At 50.3% G+C, this 16,732-nt stretch overlaps 1 protein-coding gene across 7 annotated transcripts in view, besides 5 other annotated features; it reads right to left on the bottom strand.

The window, feature by feature from the left end:
• TSPAN9 (tetraspanin 9) overlaps positions 1-16,732 on the bottom strand; it is a 209,181-nt gene that overhangs the window by 108,680 nt on the left and 83,769 nt on the right. The window lies entirely within an intron of this gene.
• Positions 4,528-5,285: an enhancer, noted in NCBI's record as "H3K4me1 hESC enhancer chr12:3281761-3282518 (GRCh37/hg19 assembly coordinates)". NCBI's record gives its function as "activates a minimal SCP1, AML or CMV promoter by ChIP-STARR-seq in naive H9 embryonic stem cells {active_cell/tissue: H9 hESC(naive)}" and the evidence as "EXISTENCE:reporter gene assay evidence [ECO:0000049][PMID:30033119]".
• Positions 5,286-6,044: an enhancer, noted in NCBI's record as "H3K4me1 hESC enhancer chr12:3281002-3281760 (GRCh37/hg19 assembly coordinates)". NCBI's record gives its function as "activates a minimal SCP1, AML or CMV promoter by ChIP-STARR-seq in naive H9 embryonic stem cells {active_cell/tissue: H9 hESC(naive)}" and the evidence as "EXISTENCE:reporter gene assay evidence [ECO:0000049][PMID:30033119]".
• Positions 8,222-8,804: an enhancer, noted in NCBI's record as "H3K27ac-H3K4me1 hESC enhancer chr12:3278242-3278824 (GRCh37/hg19 assembly coordinates)". NCBI's record gives its function as "activates a minimal SCP1, AML or CMV promoter by ChIP-STARR-seq in naive H9 embryonic stem cells {active_cell/tissue: H9 hESC(naive)}" and the evidence as "EXISTENCE:reporter gene assay evidence [ECO:0000049][PMID:30033119]".
• Positions 8,805-9,388: an enhancer, noted in NCBI's record as "H3K27ac-H3K4me1 hESC enhancer chr12:3277658-3278241 (GRCh37/hg19 assembly coordinates)". NCBI's record gives its function as "activates a minimal SCP1, AML or CMV promoter by ChIP-STARR-seq in naive H9 embryonic stem cells {active_cell/tissue: H9 hESC(naive)}" and the evidence as "EXISTENCE:reporter gene assay evidence [ECO:0000049][PMID:30033119]".
• Positions 14,910-15,411: an enhancer, noted in NCBI's record as "H3K27ac hESC enhancer chr12:3271635-3272136 (GRCh37/hg19 assembly coordinates)". NCBI's record gives its function as "activates a minimal SCP1, AML or CMV promoter by ChIP-STARR-seq in primed H9 embryonic stem cells {active_cell/tissue: H9 hESC(primed)}" and the evidence as "EXISTENCE:reporter gene assay evidence [ECO:0000049][PMID:30033119]".

Here is a 16,732-nt window from a genome sequence, read left to right as displayed (position 1 = left end):
CCTTCTTGAGTAAGAGGGCTCTGACTGAATCATTCTGTGATTAGGAATTTCACTTCTTTGTTTCCTGGTTGTAAACTTGGGAATATTACAAATCATGGAAATCCAAATTAAAACAACCAAGCCATCACTGTTTACCTAGCAGGTTAAGGCTGGGTGCGGTTGCTCACACCTGTAATCCCAGTACTTTGGGAGGCTGAGGCAGGCAAATCACCTGAGGTCAGAAGTTCAAGGACAGCTTGGCCAACATGGCAAAACCCCATCTCTACTAAAAATACAAAAACTAGCTGGGCATGGTGGCAGTCACCTGTAATCCCAGCTAGTTGGGAGGCTGAGGCAGGAGAATCTCTTGAAACCAGGAGGCGGAGAGTGCAGTGAGCCAAGATTGAGCCACTGTGCTCCAGCCTGGGCAACAGAGCGAGACTCCATCTCAAAAAAATTTTCTTGGCCGAGCACAGTGGCTCACGCCTGTAATCCCAGCACTTGGGGAGGCCGAGGCGGACAGATCACAAGGTCAGGAGATCGAGACCAGCCTGGCTAACACAGTGAAACCCCGTCTCTACTAAAAATACACAGAATTAGCTGGGCATGGTGGCAGGCACCTGTAGTCCCAGCTACTTGGGAGGCTGAGGCAGGAGAATGGTGTGAACCCAGGAGGTGGAGCTGGCAGTGAGCCGAGATCGCACCACTGCAGTCCGGCCTGGGCAACAGAGCGAGACTCTATCTCAAAAAAACATTTTTTTAAGTGACAAAATACCTATCAGCTTAAATTTTTTTTTTTATTTAAACAAGGCTACTCAATGCTGGCAAGAGTGTGGCGCATCTCCTGGGGGTCCCACCACCTCCCCACTCCCCCGGCCACCTCTTGCTCATGGACTCCTAACTGGCCTCCCAGCCACTCCTCGTTTTGCCCTGCTGTCCATGGTACTCTTCCCGCTAATGCGGGGCACCTTCCTAATACTCGGCTCTGTGCATTTCACTCGCAGCTGACACACTTCAGTGGCCCCAATTTTCATGGAATATTTAAAGACGGGCTCTGGTGGGTAATCAAGGAAAGACCAGGCAACTCAGGAGGGCCTGAAAGGTGCACGATTCTCAGCCAGGTGTGGAGGCAGATGATGTAAAGATGGGAGAGCTGCTTTCGGTTTTTCTTGGGATTTTCCCTAATGTAGGACAGATACTTTCTTCGCTGAGACGAGGGCCCAGAATAGAGTCTGAGCCACCAAAGGAAAAGGAAGGAAGTCTCAGCAGCAGCTATGTTCTTAAACTATTTAGTCTTCTTTCACAGCTAACTTTTAAATTGTGATTGGACCAAGAGACAAAAATATCTTAATCAATCAACAGATGTGGACGGAATGTCCTTCATTACCACAGGAGGCTAAAAGAAGGTGGCAGGCAGCACACGGATGTGACAATCCCCAGCCCACACTTAACTAGCAGCCATGAGGTGCCTGGTATATGCCAGCTGCTTGCACACAGCCGCGTGGTTCCTCATGCCTTCGCACATTCTGTTCCCTGTGCAGAGCACATGCCCCTCTCTTGGACGCTCAGTTTTCTCCATGAAGGCTCTTCCTTCCCCAGCCCAGGCAAAATTGGACCTTCTCTTCTCCAATCGCTGGGCTCCCCCCATTCAGACTCTCACTCTGCACACTGCTCCGTAAGGCTCGATGCTGAGACAAGAGGAGAAGGGGCACTGGGGTGATTGTTGTTCATCTTTCAATCCCAGAACCTAGCACCGTCCCTGGCTCACAGCAGGGGACAAATGGATGAACAAGCCAGGGAACAGAAGCGCGTGAGAGCCACTTCAGGTAGGGAGCACCCACAGAGGTGAGGGCTGGGACGAATCTCATTCCCGTGGCTCTTCAGACCCTCTGAGAGCTTGGATGGGCAGGGCTTGTACTGGGAAGGAGAAAGGCATACAGGCAGGGCTGAGCAGTGCCCTGGGAGCCAATGTGGGTCTGTTTAATATGCAGTGTGCCGATTCCCAGAAATCAATGCTCATTTTTAAAACTCTGCTCCCCAGAGCCACCTCCCTGTTTGATTCCAGGGTCGGTGTTAAGTATCTTTCTATTTATAAAGCAACTCGGCTGCAGTGGTGCGATGCCGGTCCCACACCCAGCCACGGAGGTGGGGCAGGGTAGCACAGAAGGAGAAACTGAGGCCTGGAAACAAGACACCAGAAAGGCCAGGTACTTACTGCAACAGCGAAAGAAATCTGGGCTAGATGCACTCCCTCCCGCGACCCTGGGGCCTGCTCACTTAGAGGCCTCCAGACAAGCTGGGAAGTGCAGCTCTTGCTCTGGGCTCCCGTGAGCACAGCGAGAGAGGCTGGGTCTTTCAAAGTTATTCTACAAGTACCAAAGGAAATGAACCCAGAGAGATGGGAAGGACGAGGTGCCTGGCTTTCCCTTGGCCACGCTTCTGACCTTCCTGGTGTCTGCAGCTCTCTATCTCACACCTCCTGCAAGGCAGCCCGTGCCACTGCAGCTCACAGGGGCTGCCACAGCTTGGCAGGCCCCTGCCGGGCGCTGACCTCCACCTCCTTCTCTGCCTCTCTGTCTCACTCCCACCTCCAGGAGCCCAGACACCCTGATGTCCTCAAGGTCAAGGCCGAGGAAGACTGACCGCTCTCGTGCCACTTCTCCCTCCCAGTTCTGGTTGCAGGCTTAGCGCACTCCTGCTTGCCAGGTCTCACCCCAGGTGAGATGCTGCCCCTGCTCCTAGGTCCTGCAGGACAGCACATTCATCCCAAATGATGCCCCCAGCCTCGCCCTGCAGGGGTCGTGTGCACAGCACTCAGGGTTGTGTCCGCAACACTTCATATCACACAAGGCGCAGAGCTGCGGACAAAAGCCTCACCAGTTCACCTGGCCACCTCCTCAGAAAATAAGGAAGAAAAGAAGACAGGCAGGGCAGGGGGTGTAAGGTCCGGGCGGCCTTCTCACACTACCAAATCAGGAGCTCCTCAGGTATTAATCATGTCAATTAAAACCACAGCTGAGGCCGGGTGCGGTGGCTCACGCCTGTAATCCCAGCACTTTGGGAGGCCGAGGCGGGAGGATCACGAGGTCAGGAGATCGAGACCATCCTGGCTAACACGGTGAAACCCCGTCTCTACTAAAAATACAAAAAATTAGCCGGGCGCGGTGGTGGGCGCCTGTAGTCCCAGCTACTCGGGAGGCTGAGGCAGGAGAATGGCGCGAACCCGGGAGGCGGAGCTTGCAGTGAGCGGAGATCGCGCCACTGCCCTCCAGCCTGGGCGACAGAGTGAGACTCCGTCTCAAAAAATAAAAATAAATAAAAATAAAATTTAAAAAAGCCACAGCTGAAGGCCAGGTGTGCTGGGCCTGTTACAAGAAGAAGCCCCTGGCCCCAAACACAGCAGAACACACAGGCTCCTGGAAATGAACACACAAACCTCTCTTCATTTTCTAACACACAGAATCCCAGAATGTTAGAATTGGAAGGAAATCTAGAAATCATCAGCTGTAAACTCTCCTTACAAATGAGGGAAATGGCCAGATGCAGTGGCTCAAGCCTGTAACCCCAGCACTTTGGAAGGCTTAGGTGGGAGGATCGCTTGAGGCCAGGAGTTTGAGACTAGCCTGGGCAACATAGTAAGACTCTGTCTGTACAAAAACTAAAAAACTAGCCAGGTATGGTGGCATGTGCCTGTAGCCCCAGGTACTCAGGAGGCTGAGGCAGGAGGATCGCTTGAGCTCAGCAGTTCAAGGCTGCAGTGATCGTGCCACTGCACTCCAGCTTGGGCAACAGAGTAAGATCCTGCCTCAAAAACAAACAAACAAATGAGGGAGAACGAAGTTTTGGAGGATAAATGAATTTATTCAGGGTCATCTAGCAAGGTCAGAACACAACAAATACAAACATCCCTTCCTGGTCCACATCCTTAACACCACGCTGTAGTCATTCAACAAACATTTATCAGGCAGAGATCTGCTGGGCATTTCACTTGGTAGATGGGCTCAACTCAGCTGGTTCCTGTTTTCAAGCAGCTTATAATTTAAGGAGGAGGAGGGAGGGAGGGAGGAAGACAGAAAGGAGAGAGAGAGATCTTTAAACAAACGGCAGAGCCAGGCACAGTGGCTAACACCTGTAATCCCCCAGCAACTTGGGAGGCCGAGGAACAGGATCACTTGAGACCAGGAGGTCAAGACCAGGGGCAATATAGCAAGACCCCCATCTCTACAAAAACTTAAAAATTAGCCAGGCATGGTGGTGTCCACCTGTAGTTCTAAGTACTTGGAAGGCTGAGGTTGGAGGATCACTTGAGCCTAGGAGGTCAAGGCTACAGTGAGCCATGATCATGCAACCGCACTCCAGCCTGGCCCTCATCTCTAAAAATAAAAAAATACACAAAAACAAACTCTTTCAACAGCACAAGCATGTGGTAAGTGCTACAATGCCAGTATGGGCATAGATGAGGAGGTGTCCCATGGGAGTACCTGTGCTACGCCCAGCGGGTGAGTACAGTCTGCCTGGCAGAGGGAAGAGAAAGGGCATTGCAGGGAGAGCAAATAGCACAGGCGAGACCCAGCGGACGGCAAGGACGTGGCAGAATCAAGAAAGCACAAGAAGAGTCTAGCGGGTGGTCATACAGCTCGTGAGGGCCACGGGCAGGGCTGCAGCCACACAGACTCTGGGCTTTCCTCGGGAAGACAGGGAACCACTGAACTCATCCACCCGGGCACAGTGAGCACCCTCCACATGCCAGGCACAGCCAACCAGGCACAGCCGACCAGGTCAGTGGGCACAGCCACTTTGCAGGACAGCAAAGGACAGCTTGGAGAGACTTGTCAGGAAGCTGTGGTAATGTTCAGGTAAGACGCCTTGAGCACCTGAACTGGGAAAGTGGCATCCAGAGACAAGGCAGAGGCACAGTCAGCAGAACCCGGGCGTGGAGTGAGAGAAACCTCTGAGTGCGCTTCAAGGTCAGGTGGTGGGAGGGCCCAGCGGTGGTAACAACCTGCGCTGGGACCAGCCTCTCTGTTTAATAGACTCGCCTGCCGCGTGCGGTTAGTTACCTTTCCATGCCTACGTGCTTGGTATTCCCTGCAGGCTCAATCAACACCTACAGGGTGACGCTGATTACGAAGCCAGCATGCCTCCAAAGCTGAAGAAAGCCTCGCTAAGCGACATTGCTGATGGATCTAGTACAAGAGCTGGTCAACGAACTGGCCCATCGCACCGCCCACCCCATCGCCCATCTCAGTCCTCACTTGTACCAGGAGTGGCTCTTGGCCAGGAGTGGGCCTCGTGAGCACCGCTGGCAGGGCCAACCAAACGTCAGTGAAAACACCCCAGACCAGACCCCCGCGGTTATGATTCTATGCGCTAGGGTGGGACTCAGCAAGCGGCGTTTAAGTTCCCCCGGTGAGTGACACGAGCACCCGCTCGCGCCAGACTAAGAACCACCAGTTATTAATCTCTCTCGTTTTAGAGATAAAGAATCAGGTCTGCAAAGCTAAGCACTCGTCCACAACTGAAAACAGCATGACCCTGACCATGCCGGCTCCCCGGGGCTGCCTCCAGAGCTGGGCGGGGAGGCAGAGGGCCGCAAGACAGAGAGGGCCGCCTGCACCAGGACCAATCTGCATCCCTCGCTCCCCAGCAGTGCGCTGAGAGCTGAGGCTGGGGTGGGGGCGGGGGAAGGGTGACGGATGGATCCTGCTTTGCTGGCTGCTACCAGAGGGCCAGGGAGGAAGAGGAGAAATGAAAAGCCTGGGAGATATTTTCCCTGTGATTTGTGCCGCTGGAGATGCCCTGTAGCAATATTTATCCTGCAGCTCTGTCCCACTTTCGTTTATCATCCAGCTCAGCCTGAGTTATCACAACCAGGATGGGACCCATAAACTAGCTACCTGACACCGTGGGGACCATGAAGCGTATTTTAAAATCTCAAGGAGCAGTTTCGACCCTCCATGGAAATTTAAAGAAATAGGTGCACCCTTCATCCCCTGGGGACTGCGGCCACTCTGGATGCAGACACAGGGAGAACGTGACACACGGAAGAAACTGCCACGCTCCCAGAGATTCACTGCAAACAAGGACCACACCCTACCTACGAGTGCAGAACCACCATCTGGTCACAGCCCCTTCTTCAGGCCAGTAGGACACACCTTTCAAAGGCCCAGAATATTTCTGGGATTGAATTTTAATCATCTGTCAATAGCAGTTCATCAAGAAATTTGGCAGTAAATGAATGAATGCTGAATTTACTGGGCATTTTCTATTACATACTAGGTCTGTGCTGGGTAAAGGGGGTTAGAAGTATAAGACCAAGTACTCGATTATCTTATCTATCAGATCTATTCACAGGGACACACAGGGATGGGTAACTAACAACACAGGAAGGATAGGTGGGTCTGATGAATGAGAGAGGGGACAGCAGGGGCTATCAGGACATCCAGGGTTAAGGGATCCTCAAGGTTGGGGCTGGCATTATGGAAAACATGAGAAGAGAGTGGGCAATCATTTGCAGACTGATAGCAAACAGTTTCTGTGGATTACGGATTAGTCATGTGATCTAGTTACTGGGTTTACGGCAGTGCACAAAACCAGGAGGAAAAACAAACAAGCCCTCCTATAGCTTGCATTCCAATTTGAGGACATGAGGGTGACAAATAAAGAAAAAAGAATATATATATCATATGCTACGTAGAAAAATAAAGAGGGATAAGGAAGATAGGACTGGGCAGGGGCAGCTGCTTTAAACAGAAAAGTCAGAAGGTCTCGGCGCGCGTCGGGACAGGGCAGCAGCAGGGAGATGTGCTGGGAAACTGTTCCCATAATCCAAGCACGAGGTGACGAACGGTGGCTGGATCAGGGCTATAGCCACAGAAGCAGCAAAAGGAGGAAGAATCCTGGTTGATCTACAAAGGAACACAGGAGTGGGGAGGCAACGAGTGTGCTTTTCAGTACATTAGGACGTCTATTAGTCATCCAAGTGGAGACGCAGATGCAATGCTTAAGAAATGAGTCAAAGAACTTTAGAAACAGAAGCGGCTTTAGAGAGCGCCAACCCAGGAGTCCCTGCCCGGCAGAAAACGAGGTGATGGTGGACCTCGAAGCCTCAGCCAGCAGCCCCACAGGTGCCACAGCTGTGCAGGTCCTTCCGCTCTACCTCCTGCCATCCTCCCCAACTCTCCTGCAGTGTTTTCAGCTGGGTAGGCCTGATCTCTGCAGCCATCTCATTCTACAGATAAGGTGCTCTGTGGCCAGGAGAAGCCACATGCATGACCAGGGCCATCTGCTCCCCCATCACGACCCCCCCACACAGAACTGACTCAGTGATCTCTTATCTACGCCACGCACATCCACCAGATCAGATTTTGTTTCCAACAATGTAATTTTGACAAGGAGGAACAGAAAAACAAAATCTCTGCTTCTAAAAGTCTTTTAATTATAAGGTTTGCCTTTGGAGTCTGAGTTTCTTCCCACAGATGTATATTACATGTGGAATCCTATGCTACATGCTATCTGGAGCAAGCTAGCCGTAGATTGGTGTGTCCAACGCAGGAGTTTGGGCTATAGGTATAAAACTGGAGTAACTGCAAAATCTGTCTCCATGGAAAAGGAAGGAAAATACTGAGCCCTGGCAGGGATCAGTGCAGAATATTCCCTGTAAACACCATAAACGAGATGGATGGGAGAGAAATTCAGATGTAAGTGACATTTATTGAGCACCCTCTATTTACAGGCTGTTTGCCTCACTCAATCCTCACAGCAACCCAGTGAGACAGGTATTATTATTCCCAGATGAAGGACGTGGAACAGAGAGAAGTAAAGGGACTTGCTCAAGGTCACGGCAGCCAGAAAGTAGCAGAGATGAGATTCAGGATGCCCCCACCCCCACCCCAAGACATTCTGACTCCTCCATCAGGGCTCTTTCCTTCCCCATGCTGCCTAGCAAAAATGAGGAGAGAAGGTGCCCCATGGTTGGGTTCAAGTGGATGGCTTGAGTCCCACTCAGGGAGCTGCATACACCTCTAAGCTTCTCTGTACCCTCCACCTCCCCCAGGCTCCAGGAAGCCACCCTGCCCACCCTGACACCTGATACGATCTTCTTCCTGCCTTCAAATGTCATTCAAAACTGCCTCCTTGATAAGTCTTCCAAACTCACTCGCATGGTTCCCACTCCTCCAACAAGCTCACAGGCATGGAAGCCTTTCCCAAATGCCCAGGCAGGGATCTAGGCCTTTTCTAGCTGTGATTCCCACATCCAGACTGATGCCTAGGGTGCTGAGTGTTCACAGGGTTTGTTATTAATAATGGATCACATTACTTTTATCAGCATTTTTCACTTTTCCCAGGCTGTCATACCATTAACTCATGTGGTCCTTATGGCCACTCTGGGCGGTAGGGAGGGCAGGTACACGTGTTGCCCATTTGACAGGTGGAGAAGCTGAGATCTAGGGGATAAAGGACTTTTCCCAGGACACCAAACTAATATCCAAACCAGAATTAGAAATCAGAGCTTCTCCTTTCTAAGCCAAAGGTCTTTCCACCAGATCACATGAACTCCCTCTCTCTGCCCTGACTTCTAAAGCAGGGGCTTCTTCCACTCCTCTCTCAGAGAATGCCAAAGCCAATCAAACCTTCCCCCAGCCCTGAGGTCAACCTGCCCACACCCACCCGAAACAGAGTTGGGTGCGTTCTGCAGACTAAGGAGGAAGACAGAGCATTGAAGGTGGGCTGTGCAGTGACGGCCTCTGCCCCTCTCCCACACTCCACGTGCAGAAGATAGAATGGTCCCTGAGAACTCACAGGCGGGTGAAAATGGAGCCAGTTTTCTCTCCTCTGGCTGCCCCATAGTCTCATCCTGGCAGACTGTTGCCAGGGGGTCTGGAATGAGGAGAGAAATGACGAAAAGAGAAGCGTACACACACTTCATGTTCCCAGCTCCGTTTAATGCCACATGAGATCACCACCTTGTATTTCCCCACTACCTTCCTTCTGAGTCACGTCCAAACCTGAGCTCATCCATCTGCACGCCCACACTGGCCGGGAGGGAGGCGGGGCCATCGAGGCAGCGCATCTGATTCATTCATTTACTCAACGAGTACTTTATGGTGGAGACACAGAAAAGAGAGGGGGCGGAGAGTGGCCTCAGCTTCCCAGAGAGACAGGACCTGGTCTGGGAAGAGAATTAAGATTTATCAAATCCTCTCCATCCAGAGCTCAATTTTTTCCCAATGCCTGTAACTGCTCTTGAGACATCCATTCGTAAAGAGATTGGATGCAGCACTTCACAAGCAAGTGACAATGACTCACACATAGAAATAGAGGGGGGCAAAGAGAAAGTAAGTCAGCTCCCCACCGCCCCCCAGCTCTGGCACCTCCCAGCTTGTGACACTCTCTTCTTACCCCTTGCAGCCTCTTCTTAGACTCTGTCCTGAATTCATTCTGTCCTGTGTGCTTGACGCTGAGCAGCTGCAGACAGGCCCAGTTCTTGTTCACCCAGCACCCCTACAGCACCCGGAACATATTGCGAAGGCACAGATTTTGGCTCCCCTCTGGGTCTTGAATTGAAGGAAGCAAAAAGACGAGCGCTAGAGGGGAGATTTTATGAAGACCTTAGCAACTAAAAAGGTTTGAAGCATCTGGAAAGAGCTGGCACAGTGTAGAGGGATGAAGATTTTTCCCATGATAGAGAAAAGAGCGAATGATTCTCTGCCAAGGATGACCGGTGCTACTCCTGCCTTGCAGGGCACTGAGCTAAACGGTGGAACGGTGGTGTGGTCTCCCCCGGCCTGGGCTTCTGTGGCACAGAATGAGTGACATGGGAGGGTATCTCCTGCTGCTGCTTGTCCGCTGGACCCCAGGACATGCTTTTATCCACAAAGGCCTGCAAACCAAACTGACCCCAATCCTCCCAGGAGGACAGGCCCATGACCTGACCCTGCAGAATAAGACCCAGAGCTCCCAAAGGAGCCAGTGGGATGGGCCCAGGAGGGTGGTCCAGGCAAACAGGCACATTGCCCCAGATGGGAACTCTGCAGGTGTGGTCTAAGGCTCCCCCACCCCCAGCCAGACTGATGCCAGCCAAAGCCCCCGGAGGAAAGTCAGTCAGCCCTGGCCCCTGCACACCAGGTCAGCAGCCACATCTGGCCCCCAGCAGCTCCTAGCCCCTGCCATCCCGATCCCAAGCGGGAGACCATGCTCACAGCACTTAGGCAGCAGTTGCCTGGACTTGGAGCCACATTTGTGAGGGCTGTGCATGCCCCAAATCCAGCTCATCACGAGCTAATGACTCCACATCCACCCCAGCCCATCACCATCATCCCTTCCAGCCCAACCTTGGGCTGACCCTCCCACTAGTTTTATTAGCACCTGTACACCAAGCACCATCCTAATCATTAAGAAGAAAGGTGTGCAAAAGTACACAAGAGATAAGCCCAATCTCCAGGGGCTCACAGTTTTTTCCTAAGCTGATCAATACTGCACTCAAGTTATATGTTTACCTATCATCCCTAAAATGTGTCGTAGTCTCTCTGTGTCCTCATTGGCTGGCACAGAGTAGCTAACTTAATGGAAGAGCTAAAAACCTCCATCTATGTTCAAAATCCCATTCCTACTGCTCATCTTCACTGGCCATCAGTGAAATCAACAGTCACAGTGAGATATCTCATTAGTGAGAGATCATCAATGAACTACAGCCACTTGCAGCTACGTGGATGAATCTTATTTTTTTTAATGTTGAGAAATAGAAGCTAGACAAAAGAACGCAAGCTGTATGATCCCATTTACGTAAAGGCCTTAGTCTATGGGCCGGGCGTGGTGGCTCATACCTGTAATCCCAGCATTTTGGGATGCCAAAGAGGGTGGATCACCTGAGGTCAGGAGTCCGAGACCAGCCTGGCCAACATGGTGAAACCCCGTCTCTACTAAAAATACAAAAATTAGCCGGGCGTGGTGGCGCATGCCTGTAATCCCAGCTAGTCAGGAGGCTGAGGCAGGAGAATCACTTGAACCTGGGAGGTGGAGGTTGCAGTGAGCCGAGATCGCGCCACCACATTCCAGCCTCGGTGACAGAGCGAGACTCCATCTCAAAGAAGAAAAAAACAAAAACAAAAAACAAAACACTAATCTATGCTGTTAGAGATCAGGTTAGTGGCTACCCCTGAGCAGGAGTAAAGTCTCAAAAGGGGAATGGGGGTGATGTGCAAGGTATTAGTAATGTTCTGTTTCTCAATCTGGATGCTGGTCCCACAGATGTGTTCACTTCTCTATAAAAATTCATCAAATGCTGCATTGCATACATATGTTATACTTCAACAGAAGGTTAGAACATTTTCCATTTCTGTCCATTTATTCATCCCGGTAGCCCTTTCATATAAAAGGACAAAGCTGTTCATGTAAAATAAATCACTGATCATCTATATGTATAATACTAGTCTTTTTTCATCTCTAAAATGAAGAATATGAGATAATCTCTAAGGAACCTTCCAGCTTTAGATAGTATGATGCTTTCATCCTATTCTTAGTAAAACCTCATTAATCAGTAATAACAAATCCTTTCTAAATTAGTGGAAAGTGCAAAATATGGAACGTTTGTTTAAAGAAAGGCAGCGTTACTGCTTGCAAGAACTAAGCACATCACAAATTAAAATATAAATGTCTATTAAATTAAAGTTAATGAAAAATATTACAATATACATTAGGCTTACATTACTTAATACTGCTTGAATATTGTTAGAATTCTGTGTCTTTCCCATGTTAGGTCCTCATTTCAACCATTTTCATCAAGAGGAGTCATGAATGCCAAACTATTACATCTGCTGTATCATTAGTGACCAAATGAGAGCGTTTAGAGAGTAACATTGACTCAGATGCCTATAATTCCCACACCTCGGCCACTTCCCTCCATGGCCCTGTTAGACCGACGAGTTCCATCCACACCTGGGCAAATCTGAGCCTGGCCTGAGCCTCGGTGCGGAGCCACTCCTTGAGGCCCGTCCCCTGCATGAGGCTGCCTCGAACATGGCTGAGACACAGATTACTTATGAGACTTAAGACACCCCTGGGAGCTCGGCAACTCCAATGATGCAGCAGATTCTAGGAGGCAGCAGGACGAGAATACTAGGCGCCATCATAAATTAAACCTCTGCTCAGTGGCTAATCTCACGGGCGCCTCACAAAGACACAGACGGACTGCCTACAGCTCACTCGCGGCCTTGAGAGCTTACAAGCAGAGGCGCCTCCCTCCCAGCTGCCAGCAGACCCACAGCTTTGCGAGCAACTCTCTCTGGGCCTCAGTATCTCCTTCTGTACAATGGGGAGAAACACTCCGTGACCCTCGCCTTGCAGTACGGCGGCAGCAACAGAACTCACTCACTAACATTTTAAATACTTCTGGACTCCCCCGTGAAATAAGACAGCATGGGGTATGTCTCAAAGGAAGTGATTTCCTGGCGGTCATCTCCAAGTCCAAAGAGCAGATTCTGCCCAAGGAATTGACACTTCATAAAGTTTACTGAAAAATCAGCAAATGAACCCTGATTCCTGGCAAACCTCCATTAATTAGCAATAAGAAATCCCTCTATTTTCCCCACCAACAGAGAGGATGAGCAGTGGGATTCGTGGCCAGTACTTCCTGCTTCTTTGCTAAGATCTAGATGCACTGAGGACTCAGGTCCAAAGACCTTCATTCCATTAGGAAAAACAGCAGCTGAGTTAGGCCTCCCTTCCCCCAGCCTAGGGCTGTGAGTGAACTTCCCCTCCTCTAGCTCCACCACCTGTCTCTGGACCAAATACAGATCACAGAGAGGCATTTCCTGAGCTCTGCAAGCTTGCTGACCCCAGAGGTTAATCCTACCCCTCTACGGCCAGGCCACCAGACGAGAGCCTCTTTCCTCCCAACCAAAGGAACCACAGAATCCTAGAATTTCAGGGCTTGAAGGGACCTGAGAAGCCCGCACGTTCAAGGCTCTGAAATGTCCAGGGATTATCCCAAGGTCACAAAGCAGAAATGGAGAGGCCAGGATTCAGAGCTAGGTCCTCTGACCCTCACCCTAATGCTCTTTACTCTACCCAAGACAGGACCTCCTTGCCATCCGAAATGCCACTGTGGCCCATTGGTGGCAGCAACCTGGAGTGCTATACCGAGAAGGCTCAGCAGGCTCAGTCTGGTTGCAGAGTTAACAGTGCTGTGATCAAGTAGCAATATCCACCTGCAGCAAAGGAGGAGGGTTTTGCAGCCGGCACTTGCCAACCTACCACGACACTGCTGGCTCCCAGGAGTCACCGCAAGATGCCTCTGCATCACCACGATCCAGCAACCTCTGGGTGTCAATCTCCCCTCGCAGGCCTGGGACAAGTGCAAGGGCCAGGGAGAGGAGCTAACCCAACAGGGAAGAGAAGAAACAGCCAGAGAGTAAAGAAGACCAGAGTGAGCTGGAAGCAAAATCCAGAAAAACTTTTATTTCAAATCAAGGATGATTTGTTGAGTGCCTGCTATTCATTTATTGGACAAACACATATCAAATGCCCACTGCATGCCAGCCATGGTGGCTCCCTGATCAATGCTACGTACCACAGAGTGTAAAGCAAACTCCTCTTTCATTTCTGCTGTGCATCACCTTCTTTTCTGCTTTGTAGACCCTATGTCTGAAAACAGAGATAAACCACCTCCCAGGACTGTTTTGATAATAGAAAGCAAAAACTCATACGAAAGCACCTTAGGAAAGAGAAAGCTCATCTAAATACAGAGCAGGCCACCGTTTCCTTCCTTCCCTTTCCTCTCATCAGGGACTTTGCACCTAATGAACGGTCCAGCCTCAGTACCACTGGTCTATCCCAAAGGACCTCTATAGCTTGGCCTTCTAAGTGGGTCCCCTCCTGCTGGCCCTCCTGCCCCACCCTCCAGATCAGGAACTGGGGTGAAGGAGTGGCCTCCTCCCTGCAAAGAGGAGAGAACAGAGAGAGCTGCCTAATCAATTGGAGAGGGAAATCCAGCCTCTACATTAATGACAGCAGGTGAGTCTCTAATATCCACAGGCAGTAACTCACACCAGAGGTTTTCTGTATCCTCCAGGGCAGAGCAAGGGATTACCACTGATGTGTTATCTGCTCCAATTCTTCCTGCCAGGAGTCAAGCATAATACCTTAGTAGTGTGGTCTCACTGATGCTAGCTGCACAGAGATATGTAAATTATACGCAATGGATTGGGAACACCACACGCTGACATCTGTCTCTCGTAAATACCTCCTACTCCAGGATGTGAAACCCAGGAAAATCCTCTGAGTGGCAAAAAGCTGTAGGCAGAACAGTAACCCGGGAAAAAGACCCAGCACCAACGATGTGTGACCCAGGTGCTATAGTTAAGCAGACTTTGTTGAGTGGCAAAGGTCTATGAAACACCATCCTAGGTGTAGCGGGGTGGAAGGGAGGAGAAATGACATAAAATGAGAACAGAAAGCCATGGTCCCTGCCCTATACAGGGTGTTTCAATGCTGGGGTTAAAACAGACACACAAATATCTTACCATGGGGTAGAGTGTGGAAAGTGCCAAACAGAGGTAGAAACAAAAGAGCGAGAGAAGCAAAAGATGGGATTGTCATATTCAATTATGGGGCTTATAGACAAGACATTTAAGCTGGCCCTTGAACAGTTGGCAGGCTTCTGAAAACAGCCAGAGAGCAACGGGGAATGAGGTGAAATGAATAGCTTGAGCTCAAGGTAGAAAAGCATTCATTCATTCAACCACTATTGATCATGCCAGGCAGTGTCTAGATGCTGGGGACTCCACAGAGAGCTGCACGAACAAGCATGGGAGTGCTCTGTGTGGACCGCAGCCAGGGACCATGGAAGGGGATGGGAATACACTTGGAGAAGAGAGTTGGGGCCCTACTGGGGAGATTCGCCAATGACTGGCAAGACTCTCCCTTCCCATGCTGTCCACAGTGGGAGGAAGGAGAAGACGTGTCCCTCCGACGTTCTGCTGCCCCTACCTTGACACTCTCTCCAATAGGCTGCCTGGGGCCTCCAGGGCTGCCTCAGCTCTCCCGGCAGGGGAGATGGTACCTTGAGCCTCAGCCCTGGAGGCCTGGGAGAGAAGGGCGACATGTAGCCTAGAGCCTGGTATAACCATAACTTGTTTCATTAACTTCCCTTAAATCTACCCGGGGGACCTATTAGCTCTGCTGAGAAAGAGCTGAGGGGAAAGAAAATGGTCTTCTTCTGGCCCAAAAGCAGGGTTAGATTAAAGGAGCCAAAAAGCTGAAAATTACTTTTTTTTTTTCTAAACATTCATCACCTCTGGTCTTGGCTGTCACTATCATCTTTTCCCTGGCTTGATCAACAGCTTCCAAGAGCCCCATCAGCTGGACCTAGGGGCCCTCAAATACCTCTCCAGGTAGAACAAGAGTTGATAACCTCTCTGCTGTTGGTTCCTGCAGGTCTCTCAGCCAGGGACACTCCCCTGCTATGATGTAAGCCCACATCCTCCTGTTCTGACCTTCACCATCACCTGAATCAATTATTTAGCATGCAGCTGCATACAGCACTGTCTTAGTCTGTTTTGTGTTGTTATAAAGGAATACCTGAAGCTGGATGATTGATCAGGGAAAAGGTTTATTTGGCTCACGATTCTGATGTCTGAGCATCTGCTGAGGCCTCAGGCTGCTTCTGCTCATGGTGGAAGGCAGAAGCGAGTCGGCATAGGCAGATATCACATGGTGAGAGAGGAAGCAAGACAGTGGGGGGAGGTGCCAGGTGCCAAGCTCTTAAACAATCAGCTCTCACAGGAACTATTACAGTGAGGATGTACTCACTCGCCAGGGAGGACATTAATCTATTCATGAGGGATCCGTCCTCATGACCCAAACACCTCCCATTAGGCCACACCCCCAACACTGGGATCAAATTTCAACCTGAGGAGGCCAGGCAGGCACCATGGCTCATGCCTGTAATCCCAACACTTCGGAAGGCTGAAGCGGGAAGATGGCTTGAGCCCCAGCATTCAAGGCTGCAGTGAGCTGGAGTGCACCCACTGCACTCCAGCCTGGGTGACAGAGTGAGACCCTATCTCTAAAACAACAGACAGACAGATAGATAGATAGATAGATAGATAGATAGATAGATAGATAGATTTCAACCCAAGATTTGGAGAGGACAAATATTCAAACCATAGCAAGCACCATTCTGGGTCTAGTGAACAGCAAGTTACACACACACAGAATTGTACAATATCAACACAAAAGGCTGAGAAGCAGGGGCTGGGGAGCTGCTCACTGGTGCTCTTCCAGCAGGAAAGGGCATTTTCCAAGAGCACTTTCCCCAGGCCAGGCCCCACGCTAGGTGCTCCACCTACCTCCTGCTCCCCAGGTGGTGGGTTTTAAAGGGCTCCAGGTGTCCTTTAAGATCCTATTTATGTCAACAAATGGTGCTGGGACACCTGCATACCCACAGGAGAAAAATGTAGTTGGCCCCCTACCTCACACCATACACAAAAAGGAACTCAAAATGAATCATGAACCTAAATGTAAGAGTTAAAACTATAAACCTCTTAGAAGACAAGATAGGTGTAACTCTTTGTGACCTTGGGTTTGGCAATTATGCCTTAGATATGACACCAAAAACACAATAAAAGAAAAATTAGATAAATTGGACTTCAGTAAAATTAAAAACTATTTTTTTTTTTGAGACCGAGTTTCACTCTTGTTGCCCAGGCTGGAGTGCAATGGTGCAATCTCGACTCATCCCAACCTCTGCCTC

This window comes from Homo sapiens, chromosome 12 (assembly GCF_000001405.40).
Source record: "Homo sapiens chromosome 12, GRCh38.p14 Primary Assembly".
Classification (NCBI taxonomy): Eukaryota; Metazoa; Chordata; class Mammalia; order Primates; family Hominidae; genus Homo; species Homo sapiens.
Note: the sequence above shows the minus strand (reverse complement) of the source record. Positions and strands in the feature narration are given on the sequence as shown.